Raw genomic sequence first — 14,087 nt, forward strand, 5'->3', positions numbered from 1 at the left:
TTCCGATGCTCCCCTAGTTTTCCGATGCTCCCCTAACTTTCTGATGCTCTCCTGTTTACCTGAGGAGACTCAGGCGTGGTTTGCATAAGAGTTAATACCATTTCTTTTTCTTTCCCTCATTTCTTCCTATTGTAGGCTTTACTGAGAAAAATTTGATGTTACCTGAGGTCAGGAGTTACCATCCTGGCCAACGTGGCGAAACCCCATCTCTACTAAAAAAATACAAAAAATTAGCCAGGCATGGTGGTGCATGCCTGTAGTCCCAGCTTTTCAGGAGGCTGAGGCAGGAGACTTGCTTGAACCCGGGAGGCAGAGGCTGCAGTGAGCTGTGGTTGCACCACTGCACTCCAGCCTGGACAACAGAGCGAGACTCCGTCTCAAAAAAAGAAATAAAAGTTAAGTGGTATATAAGTGAACTTTCAGGAGGTGAAGATGTACTAGTATCTCTGACACCTAGAGAAAAGTCATGGATAGTGTATTTAAAGTAGTGCTTGTCATTGAATGTCCTTTCTGGCCAACAGAACTTACTGAGATGTGGGGAGCAACTTCCACAGTGGGCTGACACCTGCCGAGGGAAGTCCAAGGCCCGGGATTGCAGATGCTTTTAATATGAATAGCTAGGTGAAATGTGAATATATATAGTTAGGTGAAATAAATGTAAATCTTCACTAAGTTTGTAATAACCACAGAGTTTTTTCTAGTAAGAACATCTTCACGTTACTTCCCAACTTGAGCAAGACAGGAAGCTTGAGACATTTATTTTTTGGGGTGAAATGCTTTCTTTTTCATCTTGCAGCATGGATTGTGCAATTGTCATCTTGTCCTTGACTTCTGCCTATTGCCCTAAAATTATCGGGCTGTCATCAAGTCAGCATCTGCTTTGTTTTGAAATACATGTCTTTTAAGAGGCTGGAGGCATATTAGAAATATACAGATTTTTTTCTCCCCAACTTTTGTTTTAGATTCAGTGGTACAGGTGCAGGTTTGTTACGTGGGTATGTTGTGTGATGCTGAGGTTTGGGCTTCTAATAATCTCGTTATGCAGGTACTGAGCATCGTACCCAACAGTTAGTTTTTCAACTCATCCCTCCCTCTCTCTCTCCCCTCTCTAGTAGTTCCAGTGTCTATTATTGCCATTCTTATGTCCGTGAGTACCCAGCGTTTAGCTCCCAATTATAAGTGAGAACATGTGGTATTTGCTTTTTCTTTTCCTGCTTTAATTTGCTTAGAATAACGGCCTCCAGCTGTATCCATGTTGATGCACAGGACATGATTTTACTCTTTTTTTGTGGCTGCATAGTGTTCTGTGGTGTATATGTACCATATTTTCTTTATCCAACCCACTGTTGATGAACACCTCCTTTGATTCCATGTCTTTGCTGTTGTGAATAGTGTTGTGAGGAACGTGTGAGTGTATGTGTCTTTTCAGTAGAATGACTTGCTCTTCTCTTCTTTTTTTTTGGAGACAGGGTCTCACTTTGTTGCCCAGGCTGGAGTGCAGTGGTATCATCTCTGCTTACTGCAACCTCTGCCTCCTGGGTTAAAGTGATTCTCCCATTTCAGCCTCCCGAGTAGCTAGAACTGTTGTTGTGCCCCACCATACCTGGCTAATTTTTATATTTTTTGTAGAGATGGGGTTTTGCCTTGTTGCCCAGGCTGGTCTCAAATTCCTGGATTCAAATGATCCACCTGCATTTTTGGGGGCCATTTTTTGTCCCCCAAAGTGCTGGGATTAGAGATGTGAGCCACCGTACCTGGCCTGTTTTCCTTTGGGTATATACCTAGTAGTGGGATTGCTGGGTTGAATGTAGCTCTGTTTTAAGCTCTTTGAGAAATCTCCAAACTGCTTTCCACAGTGGCTGAACTAATATACATTCCCACCAACAGTGTATAAGAGTCCCCTAGAAATATACAGATTTTTAAAGAGATGTTGATGGAAGTGAAGTTAATTGAAAATACCGAAAATACAAGTGTAAGTTCAGTCTTGGCTTTTCCAAGTATTCATCTAGGAAGCATGTTCAGTTGATCAGACAGAAATGAAATTGCTGGTAAAGTTCTTGTAGTTAACTTAGATTATGATGGGAAAGGAGTACTTTTTTTATACCTGAACTTTTCTATTGAGTTTTGGACTGTGTATGTTTTTTGAATCCAGTATACCCACTTTAAACCTTACGTACAGCTCATTTCTCCAAACCAAATATTTGAGATTTCTCTTTCATGTTTATAAATCCTCAAGATTTTTGCTTTGGTTTATTAGATAAGGATTTTTGGTGGTATAATAACTAGGTTGGGTGGTTTTATCTTAATCTCTCGTTTGCTTTAATATTTAGTTTTATTTAATCTCCTAAGAACGAAGATTAATTTTAAAAAGGATTGTTAAACTTTCGTGGCCAAAGAAGGCCACGATGTGCCTTCTAAATGGCAGAGAGCTCCAAAATTATTTAATGAATTCCACTCCTGGTGCACTCATTTATAGCAAGATGTGCAAGGACCTTAGCCTATTTATCATCCTGTTCTTGGTTTACCATTGCAACAATAAATCACCTTGATTGGTTCACCTTGACTTCACGTTACAGACTTTTCATGTTGACCTGCTTAAGAGTGTTTGAAAGCTACCTTTTAAATAATGTCCTATAACCACAATAATCCAACAGTATTGAGGACATGCCACCCTCAAACCTTGGTCCACCCACCATCAATCCACAAAGTCCGTTTCTAAATATTACCTAATATTCATCATCCACTCAGCAAATACTTTTTGAGCTGTTTCATGTCAGGCGCTGGCTGTGGATGAGCTATGTATTTCGTAGATAACACTGCAGTTCTGTTCTCAGGATGCTTCCAGCTAGTTGGGAATTCAGGAAGAATAGAGAAAAATATCTTATCAGGAGATGAAGGAAATAATTTAAATGTACCGTCTTTGATATTTTCCTCTTTGTATTATGGAAGCAGTATATAAGACTTCGTGGAAAATTTGGAAAATACAGGAAAGTATGAGGAAGAAAAATGTCATCCATCATTCTGCCACCCAAGAATAACCACTGTTACTACTTTCATGTTTCTTGTCTTTAAAAAATGGCTTCTAAAAACAAGCAGAACAGAGCTCTGTCCAGTAAAAGGCTTTAAGGTGAAATTTGATGAGGGAAAGGAAAAAAAGGCCCCCAGAAATGTTTCTGCTGTTGTGGGGGACCATGCTGTGGAAGCAGCATCTTGGGGAAGGGATGTCTGGGAGTTCTCAGGAAGAAAGTATCAGGGAACAAAACCAAGAACAGTGTTTACCTTAGATTTCCAAGTTACAAGTGTGTTGTGTTCTAAAACTTGATGAGGTGGTAATTGGCATTCCAGATGCTTTTCTCAGATACTAATCTATGCTAGATGAGTAAATGGAGTCTTCCCTCTAGGACAGAATATGCGAGATGATTTTTAGATTGCAGTGTCCACTGCGTGTCCACGGTTTAAGGTTTGGAGAATTTATAATAGGAGAAGCAAGGAAAAAACATTTTTTTTGAAGGGTCTCTTAGGTACTAGCACTTTTTTTGAAGTCAGTGTTTCATTTAATGTTCATAGCAAACATTTGAAGGAAGTATTTCCCTCATTTTTGTAGTTCAGATTTAGGAATTGGATTTAATTGCTTGTTTACAGTCATAGTGTTTCATATTAAGTGGTAGGGGCACATGCAGGCTTTGGAACCAGAGACCTGGGTTCCGCCCTACCACAGTGATCTCAGACAATTCCTCAACCTCTTTCTTAATTTTTAAAAGGAAAAGATGATGATGCTTAACTCAAGGTTATTATAAAGATGAAATGAGACAATGTATATAGCACCCTTCCCACAGTTTAGATTTAGGATCAATGAGTGAGAGCTTTTAGTATGTCACTTGTAAGGCAGCAGGCCCAGTGCCTGACATATAGTAGATGTCCAATAGATGTTGGACCCAGGGCTTCTTACAAGCCCTCCCAACTTTTCAGGTTTTTAAAAATTTCTCTATCTGTCTGTCTGTCTGTCTGTCTATCGAGAGAGATGGGGTCTCAGTCTGTTGCCCAGGCTGGAATGCTGTGGTGTAATCTTGGCTCACTGCAACCGCTGCCTCCTGGGCTCAAGTGATCCTCTCACTTCAGCTTCCTGAGTTGCTGGGACTGTAGGTGTGCGCCACTATGCCCAGCTAATTTTTTGTATTTTTTGGTAGAGACGGACGGGGTTTTGCCACGTTACACAGGCTGCTCTCCAACTGCTGAGCTCAAGTGATCCGCCAGCTTCAGTCTCCCAAACTGCTAGGAGGTGTCGTGAGCCACTGTGCCTGGCATGCCAACTTTTCAATTTTTTCTAGTGTCTTTCTCTTGGATTTTGAAGGACCTTAATGGAAAGATATATTTCATTTGAATTATCATGGTGGATTCTTGGATTTGTAAAATAAATGTCATCTGCACTGCACAGGAAAATTCCATCTCATCAGTAGTTTTCTTTGAAAGGTCATCCTGAACATTTTCCCCTGGGTGTCTGGGGAAGGCTAAGGGTAGGAAGGCTAAGAGCCCAGGTGGGAGTGGGGGAGAAGGAGAGCAGGAGGAGTCAATTTGGGTATTTTCCTGGCGTAGTTTGCTACCTACCCACCTTAGTAAGGACTGTACTATGGCCATGTGTGACTGGGATTGTAATGGAGCAGAGGTTAAGAGGGCACTGTGTGGGAGACGGGTACTATGTGGAAGATATTTGGTTCTCCGTGCATACTCATGCTCTTTCATGCACTTATTCAGTCATCAGACAGTTGTTGACGCTTTCCTATATGCAGTGCACTGTGCCAGTCCTTTGGGATTCAAAGGATGTCCTCACCTCTGTAGGATTAAGCCAAGTTGATAGACAAGTAACAGAAAGTTACAGCTCAGTTTTAAGTGCCAAGTTAGAGGGAAGCTGGGGGAGCTTTGCCAAAGCATATTAAAATTATTTTTCTGTATTTGCTTCATTAGACCTTGAAGGCCAGGACTATGTCTTTGCAACTTGATTTTTCCCACAGCTTACTCTTTTTTTTTTTTTTTTGAGATGGAGTCTCGCTCTGTCGCCCAGGCTGGAGTGCAGTGGCGCGATCTTGGCTCACTGCAAGCTCTGCCTCCCGAGTTCATGCCATTCTCTTGACTCCTGAGTGGCTGGGACTACAGGCGCCCGCCATCACTCCCGGCTAATTTTTTTGTATTTTTAGTAGAGACGGGGTTTCACCGTGTTAGCCAGGATGGTCTCCACCTCCTGACCTCGTGATCCGCCTGCCTCGGCCTCCTAAAGTGTTGGGATTACAGGCGTGAGCCACTGCGCCTGGCACCCAGAGCTTACTCTTATATGCATCCCTGAATAAATTTGTATAATTTATTATTATTATTTTTTGAGATGGAGTCTCTGTTGCCAGGCTGGAGTGCAGTGGCACGATCTTCGCTCACTGCAGCCTCCGCTTCCCGGATTCAAGCAATTCTCCTGTCTCAGCCTCCCGAGTAGCTGGGACTACATGCGCTTGCCACCACGCCCAGCTAATTTTTGTATTCTTAGTAGAGATGGGGTTTCACCATGTTGGCCAGGATGGACTTGATCTCTTGACCTCATGATCTGCCTGCCTCGGCTTCCCAAAGTGCTGGGATTATAGGTGTGAGCCACCGCACCCAGTCAAATTTGTATAATTTTTAACCTGACACAGAGACAAGGTAGTTTATAAATGGTGTGTTTAAACTATATGTGTGGAAATCTCAACCCTGTAACTGGAGACATCTGATAAGTCTTAGACTTACTGATAATTTCATTTTTAGAAGGTAGAGGTGGAAATTTGACTAGTTAATTCATGCTGAGAACTTTGGGTGAAACTGGCTATTTTATTCTGGGGTTTCATCCTGATGGAAGTTGTGCAAGACCCTCTTGCACATGAGATTTTTAGAAAGGTGTCTCATGAAGCTCAGAGCAAAGATGGTATTACCTCCAAGGCCAGCAGAACTGTAGAAGAGAGTATGGTTTCATCGAGATGTGTGGGGAGCGCCAAGAAACAAAAATTGTGATTGTATGATTGCAAGTCATGATGGTAAGCAAAAGCGGGGATGGCTTCTAAAGAAGTCAACAAAGTGTTCAGGGTCATTGGAAAAGAAGCCAGATTTTAAAAAAGATTATTGAGATATAATTCACACATTATACAGTTAGCCCATTTAAAGTGTACAATTTAGTGGCTTTTAATGTATTCACAGCTGTGTGTAACCATCACAACAATTTTAGAACATTTTCATTACCTCAAAAATAAATTTCATGCACGTTAGTTATCACCCTCCTGCCTATCTTTCTATCTCCCTAGCCCTAAGCAACCACTAACCTACTTTCGGTCTCTATTGATTTGTCTGTTCTGGATGTTTCATGTAAATTTAAGCAATATGTAGTCTTTTTTTTTTTTTTGAGACAGTCTTGCTCTGTTGCCCAGGCTGGAGTGCAGTGGTGTGATCTCGGCTCACTGCAGCCTCTGCCTTCCAGGTTCAGGCGATTCTCCTGTCTCAGCCCCCCGAGTAGTTGGGATTACAGGCACACGCCACTACGTCTGGGTAATTTTTTTTTTTTTCGTATTTTTAGTAGAGATGGGGTATCACCGCGTTGGCCAGGCTGGTCTTGAACTCCTGACCTCAAGTGATCCACCTGCCTCGGTCTCCCAAAGTACTGGGGTTACAGACATGAGCCACCATGCCCAAACAAAATGTAGTATTTTGTGACTGGCTTCTAATAATGTTTTCAGGGTTTGTACATGTTGTAGCATATATCATACTTTATTTCTTTGTCTTGTCAAGTAATATTCTATTCTAATAACATTTTGTTTTTTTCTGTTCATCAGTTGATGGACACTTGGGTTTTTCTACTTTTTGGCTATTAAGAATAATGTTGCTTTGCAGGTGTAAGTTTTAACGTGCACATATGTTTCCATTTTTTCTTGGATATATACCTAGGAGTTGAATTGTTGACTTATATAGTAACTCTATGCTTAGTAACTCTAAACAATCCGGGCTTTTGAGGAACTGCCGGACTGTTTTCCAAAGTGGCTGTACCATTTTCCATTTCCACGAGCAGTGTATTAAGGTCCCAGTTTCTCCACATCTTTGCCAACACTTGTTACTGTATGGCTTTTCTTTTTATTTTTGCTGTCATAATAGGTGTGAATGACTTTTATTTCCTTAATGACTAATGATGGTGAGCATCTTTTTATGTGTTTGCTGGCCATTTGTAGATCTTTGGAGAAATGTCTGTTTACATTTTTTGCCCATTTTAAAGTTAAGGTTTTTGTCTTTTTTTGTTGAGTTGTAAATATTCCTTATGTATTTTAGATACAGATCTTTTATTAGATTTGCAAAATGTTTCACTCTGTGGGTTGTCTTTCTATTCAGGAGGCCAGACTTTAAGTGGAATACAAAAGAGAAAAGGGCATGTAGTAAGCATGAAAACAAAAGAATAGGCCGAACTGCTACAAATATTTTAGACAGAGTATACCTAGGGTGACCTGTGGCTTGCAGGAAAAAAATTTGAAATTACCACAGTGATTTAAAAAAATTTTTGGAAGTATAATCCACATCAAGTATGCAAACTGTAAAGGTACAGCTTGATAAATGATCACAAAATGCATACACACATGTAACCACCATGCAGGGTCAACACAGAGACTATTACCAGCCCCCACAAAAGCCATCTTCTGCACCTTTGCAATCATTAGCCCTCCTGCACCCCAAAGATAACAGCTCTTTTGATTTCTGTCACCATTGATTAGTTTTTATATATTTTTTGAAATTTGTAGAAATGGGATTTTACAGCATGTTTTCTTTTGTACCTGGTTTATCTTGCCTAACATGTAAAATTTATCCATGTATTTCCTGTAGTTCATTTTCTTTAGTCAATAGTTTTCCGTTGTATCAATATCCAACTCTTTATACTGTCTTCTTTTGATGGATGTTTGAGTTTCAGTTTTCAACTTCTGGTCATTAGGCCCTTTCTTGCATGCATGTTGAGGTGCACATGGGGCATGCCTTCCCATTAGATGTATGTCTAAGAGTGGACTTGCTGTGTCATAAAGTGTATCTGTGTTCCGCTTTATTAAAGTGTATGCAAATTAGTTTTTAAGCTTTAAAACAAAGTGATAACTAAAAAGAGGCTAAACCCACTGTTTAATTTTAACAAAAGGGATTTCAGAGTAATTCACTCCTTTTTCTTAGTATCTTTTATGGTAGGAAAGTATTTTTCAGACAGAGAAGGGTAGAATATGAAAGATGAGAGTAAAGCAAACAAGTTCTTACTCACTTAAAATAAATAAGAATCTCCAGGCTGAAATGGATTCTTCCCCAGGATACTGAAAACTCTACCATTAATTTGAGGAACCGCAGTTGGGAAACTTCGAGAACTGATAAGGTGAGAGAAGCTCTTACAGGGGCAAAAAGATGATACCTTTTCCTCATCCACCGCAAGGGTTGTGGTCAGTACTACTGTTAGCAAAAGACAGGTTAGCAAGAAAGAAAATATCACAGATTTGTTTAACAAAGTTATATATGACGTGGGAGCTTTCAGAAATGAAGACTCAAAGACCCAAGGAAAACTTTCTATGCTTACATTTGATGGAGAATCATGGCCATGTAGTAATGTGATTGCACAAAAAGGGAATGATCTAATGGTAATAAACTGAGAGGGGAACCCAGCAAGGCCTGTCCAGATTCTTCTCAGCCTCTCTGTGTTGAGCATTACTTTTCTGCTGGGTGTGGGGCAGAACCCTTCTGGAATAAGGGTCTTATGATCTATTTTCAGGTAAGATGGGTCGGAGAATTCCTTTATGACCATGCTTCACATAGAAGGCAGGGGAAGTGACCTTGTTTCTGGGCCCCCTCCAGTTTCCTTCAGTTCAGAATCCTTTGGGGGTAATGTATTCTGAGCCCTGACACTCCTGAAATCTGAAGGTTTACGTCAGTGTTTTCATTTGTTTTCCCTAAAGAAAGGAAATAGATTTTTTTTTCCTAGAGAAAGGAAACTAGAAAAAGTTTCATGTGACTTTCTGACAGAATTTTAGTATAGGTTTAAACAGGTGATTTGATAGCATGAGAGAAAAAGGTAGTGGTTACCAGGAGCCAGGATGGTTTCAATATTACAAAAAACATTCACTGGGTTTCTAATTCCTGTGGGTTCCTGGTACTCCTGCTGCCGGAGGAACAAAGGTGAATGTCAAGTTCTGAATTTAGGAGGTCAGCTTGTAGCTAGTATCCTTAGTGCATTTCCTTGCACATATTTTTTGATGGCCCAAGAGTGGGGGAAGCAGACGCATTAGTAAGTAATCCCCAAATATAGGCAGAGTGCCTAGGAACCTGGTTAAGGAGTGCTCTTGTGACACTGGGGAGGATGTGGAGAATAGGACATCTTTTGAAGAGGTGATACTGCTTCTAAAATCTGAAGAGACTAAGGGAAAATAGAGTAGGGTGGGGAGGGCAGGCAGGTGCTGAGGCTTGGTTATAAGAGCATTTCTGCTAGATGGAGTAAAGTGATTATGAAAAAACTTTTTAGAAGTGGGAGGTCTCGAACTCCTATTCGTGATCACAGACCTCGTGATCTGCCTGCCTTGGCCTCCTAAAGTGCTGGGATTATAGGCGTGAGCCACCGCGCCTGGTTAATGTGGTGAAACCCCGTCTCTACTAAACACACACACACACACACACACACACACACAATTAGCTGGTCATGGTGGTATGTGCCTGTAATCCCAGCTACTCGGGTGGCTGAGGCAGGAGAATTGCTTGAACCCAGGAGGTGGAGGTTGTAGTGAGCCGAGATCGCACCACTGCATTCCAGCCTGGGCGACAGAGCAAGACTCTTTCTCAAGACAAAACAAAAAAAAGTGGGAGGTATTGCCACTGATTGGCCTTACCCGATTGGCCACTGATTGCCACCGATTGGCAAAACCTAGTGAGGTTTTGCCTATTATGCTAAGGACTTGGGGCTTTTATACGCCTAGGGGAGCCCTGGAAAGATTTTAAATATCCAGGGAGCAGAATGATCAGATTTGCATTGAAAAAGTTTGCTCATAATGTGGAAAATGTACTGATCTGGGTCCGGGGACATAGGAAACTCTTACAAGAGTGAAGTTAGGGATTGCAGTGGTCCTAAGTCCCCCAGAGGGACTTAGGAGAGACTAAAATAAGTCATTCTGTGCTAATCTTGTTTTCCTTTAAAGATAGATTCTGAAAAGTTTAAATAGGTTATTAGTTAGGGGAATGCTGTCTTTTGATTTCAACGGAATATTTAGTTTAACAAAAGGCTGTCCTTATGAACAAGATGGGAAAATGTGATATGGGTATTAGGTGGATTTGTAGCTTGTTGAATAGTAGATTTGATGGATCTGCACAAGCTGGAAGAGAAGCATTTTGTCCTGTGCTGTTGCGCTCTGTATTTGATTTCTGTGGGTTACAACTTTGATCTGTGAAATAGTTTTATTGTTAACAAATTTATATGTGAAGTTAGAAAGGTAAGGTAGTTGACAAATTACTTTTCAAGTTTAAAATATGCCTTTATAAAATTTCAAAGAGGTGAAATTGGTTGTAGGGGTTGTGGGGGCAGAAATGCTACTCTTTAGGTTGCAAGTACAGTATAATTACATAAACAGATAAATAGTTTTTCTGTGATACTAAAATTTCATGGGAGAGGGTGATTAAGAAAAAATGCCTAAAAAGTCTCTTTAGGGGTGCAGTGATGGAAAAAAGTTGAGAACCACAGGTTTAAAAGAAAGCTGTTGAAATGGCTAGCCAAAACTTGGAATACATGGAGATAGTTGAAAATTTCTACATTTAGGACTCAACACTAAAGGTACCATGATAGGTTGGGAATATTTCATGATTTATGTTTATGTGAAGGAAAAAAATGGAATTAAATCCCTTTGTTACTTTTATTTGCTTCTAAACTCAGTATGAGTCAGTAGGGTGGATATGACTGAGAGAAAGGTTAATGCAGCCTTAGCTTTCATTTATAAAATTAGGTGTAAATAGAATTCAGAGTGTAAGAGTTTCCTGTATGGTTTCCTAATACGGTTTATTATTACCATAAACTGATCAGAACCTGATCTGGAACTTGGAAGATGAGAAGTCTCAAAACCATGTTGAGAAGCGTTATTCAGACAGAACAACAACCAACTTATTGTTTAAATATAACAAGACAACTGTAAGAATTTATGGCTTGAATCCACAAACATAATTAAACAATTAAATTGGGCAATGCTGTATAATTAATAGATTAATTAAATCTATATTGAGTGCCTACTATCTTCCAGGTGTTATTCTAGCTACTGGGGACTCTGTACTCAGCCAACTGGACAAAATATCTGTGTTCATGGAACTCACAGGTTAGTGGATGGAGCCAGACAGTAAACAACATAAGTTTGTAAAATATATCTAGTATGTGAGATAGTGTGCTAGGTATTAACAAGTGTGCCAGAGGAAAAATAAGTAGAAAAGGAGTATGATAAACAGTGAGACTGGTGGAAATATTAGAGTGGCCAGAGAAGGCCTCATTGAAAAGGTGATTTTTTTAAAAACATACTTTATATTGTAGTGTAACAAATACAGAAAAGTGCAGAAAGCACAAATGTACCATGGGATGAATTTTCTGTCTTTTTCTTTTTGAGACAGTCTCACTCTGTTACCCAGGTTGGAGTGCAGTGTTGTGATCATGGCTCACTGCAGCCTCCCTGGGCTCAGGTGATCCTCCCACCTCAGCCTCCTGAGTAGCTGGGAGGGTTGAATTTCTGCGAAGTGAATACACTTGTGTAATCAGCACTCAAATTAAGAAACAGAATTTTAACTGCCCCTTAGGAGGTCTGGTTACCCCCCCTCCTAGTTGAAGCCTTGCTTCCTGAGGACTCACACCATAGGTTACTGTTGCTGGTTTGTGAGCTTTATATTAATGTCATAATGTATAATATATTCTTTTGTTTCTGGCTTCTTTTACCAACATTGATTTGGTGAGATCCATCTATGCTCTTACAAGTATTTGTAGTTTATTCATTTTTGTTGCTGTAGAGTATTAAATTGTATCATGATACCACAGTTTACTGTCTTCTGTCTCTAGCTAATGAGTAGCCCTGCAGCAAACATGCTTGTATATTTCTTTTTAGTGATGCCATCTACAGGGGATATAATTAGAAGTGGAATTGCCAGGTTATAGGATATGTGTACATTCACTTTGGTAGATACTGATAAACAGTTTTCTAAAGTGATTATATTGATTTGTATACCTATTAATGGCATGTGAGAGCTCCACAGACATGTCAAGATTTGGCATCTCCTGCCATTTAACTTTAGCTGTTCCGGTAGTTGTGTAGAGATGTTCCATTGTGGAAGACTAATGCATTTAAGCACCTTTTCATATTTATTGGCCATTTTGAACCACTTTTTGGTGTGATGGAAATGTTCTGTATTTTCATTGTGTTGTGGTTAAATGACCATATACATTTGTGGAAACCCACAGAAAAACTGTACACTAAAAAGAGTGAATTTCACCATATGCAAATTATATGTCAATAAATAAAATGACTAAATACCACATTCATTATTGATTTATAGAAATTTTAAAAATATATTCTAGATGAGTTCTCCATTGTATATGTGTATTGCACATCTGTTCTTCCACTTGCTGGCTTGCCTTTTCAGCTCTCTTAATGGTGTCCTGTTTTAAGAAATTTTAGTTTATCTCAAGGTCACAAAGATAAGGATGAATTTCACGTAACCACTTGAAGAAGTAAGGTCACTAATCATACAGGTGTCTGACCTGGAGGAGACATTTTAGACCAAAGAGGCAGCAGGTGTGAAGAACCCAAGGCCAGGTGCCTAGAAGGACATGGCTAGTAATGGAGGAGCGGAGATGAGCTGAGAGAGGCATTGAGACAGCAGGTGGGGCTTGCTGAAGAATTTCCTCTCACTGAGATGGGACTCCTGAAGGGTTTTAAGCGCAGCATTGACCTGGTCTTACCTAGGTTTTAACAGAGTCGCTAGGCTGCTGTGTTGAGAATAGCCTTTTGGGAGTGGGGCTGAAGTAGGGAGCCAGTTAAGAGGCAGTGGGGGTGGTCTGAGGGAGTGATTATGGTGACTAGACCTGGTGGTGGCAATAAATGGGGTAGTTGACTGTTGGTAGGTTTTCAATGTGAAGCTGAAGGATATACTCATGGCCTGGAACTGGGATGTGGAAGAAAGAAGAATGGCACTAGGTATTATTTTAGTATTTATTTTTATTTTTTGCCTGAGCAACTGGAAAGAGGGGAATTGGGAAGTTGGAGACGGGCAGAAGGTGCAGAAGATGTGGAGTAGTGCCAGCCATCTGCTTGTATTTTACAGATGTAATCTTAATTTTTTTCAGCATTTTATAAAGAAAGGCCATTCGAATACCAAAAGAATAGGAAAAGACACAATTTCAAAATAAAGATCAACCATTGAAATTGGATAAATTTAGCCTTATGAAATACTCAAACAATTTTTTTTTCCCCGTTTCTCTGAGGACCTACAGATGCAGGTATTGTTTTGCAAACCAGCTTTGAGAATCACTGATTTGTGGTATTATGCATGTATCCTTTGATGTTGATACTATTAACAAATGAGCATCATATCCTTAATCTTGCAATAAGATTGCGATTAGAGTCTAAACATGATAAACGAAAAATTAAAGTAGGCCGTGTGTCATTTCTGGCCTAGAGATACTTCATTTGTTTCTTTTTTTTTTTTTTTTGAGATGGAGTCACGCTCTGTTGCCCACGCTGGAGTGCAGTGGCCATCTTGGCTCACTGGAATCTCTGCCTCCCAGGTTCAAGTGATTTTCCCTCTTCAGCCTCCTGAGTTGCTGGGATTACAGGCGCCCGTCACCACACCTGGCTAATTTTCATATTTTTGTAGAGGGGGGGTTTCACCATGTTGGCCAGGCTTGTCTTGAATTCCTAACCTCAAGCAATCTGCCCGCCTTGGCCTCCCAAAGTGCTGCGATTATGGGCGTGAGCCACCGCGCCTGGCCCGATACTTCATTTCTTAAAAAAAAAAAAAAGACTGTGTGTGCCAGGTGCAATCAGAGGACACATATGGTA

General features: G+C 40.3%; 1 protein-coding gene across 34 annotated transcripts in view; it reads left to right on the top strand.

The window, feature by feature from the left end:
* Positions 1 to 14,087, top strand: part of SIPA1L1 (signal induced proliferation associated 1 like 1) — a 420,734-nt gene that overhangs the window by 20,084 nt on the left and 386,563 nt on the right. Inside the window, exon 1 of one of the 34 annotated variants that reach the window (XM_047431220.1) lies at positions 1 to 11,363. This exon is cut by the window's left edge and continues 17,625 nt beyond it. The exons of the other annotated variants lie outside the window; for them this stretch is intronic. The gene's annotated coding sequence lies outside the window, so the exon portion shown is untranslated. The remainder of the gene's footprint in view (positions 11,364 to 14,087) is intronic. 34 annotated transcript variants of the gene reach the window in all.

The sequence above is a fragment of the Homo sapiens genome, chromosome 14, assembly GCF_000001405.40.
Source record: "Homo sapiens chromosome 14, GRCh38.p14 Primary Assembly".
Classification (NCBI taxonomy): domain Eukaryota; kingdom Metazoa; phylum Chordata; class Mammalia; order Primates; family Hominidae; genus Homo; species Homo sapiens.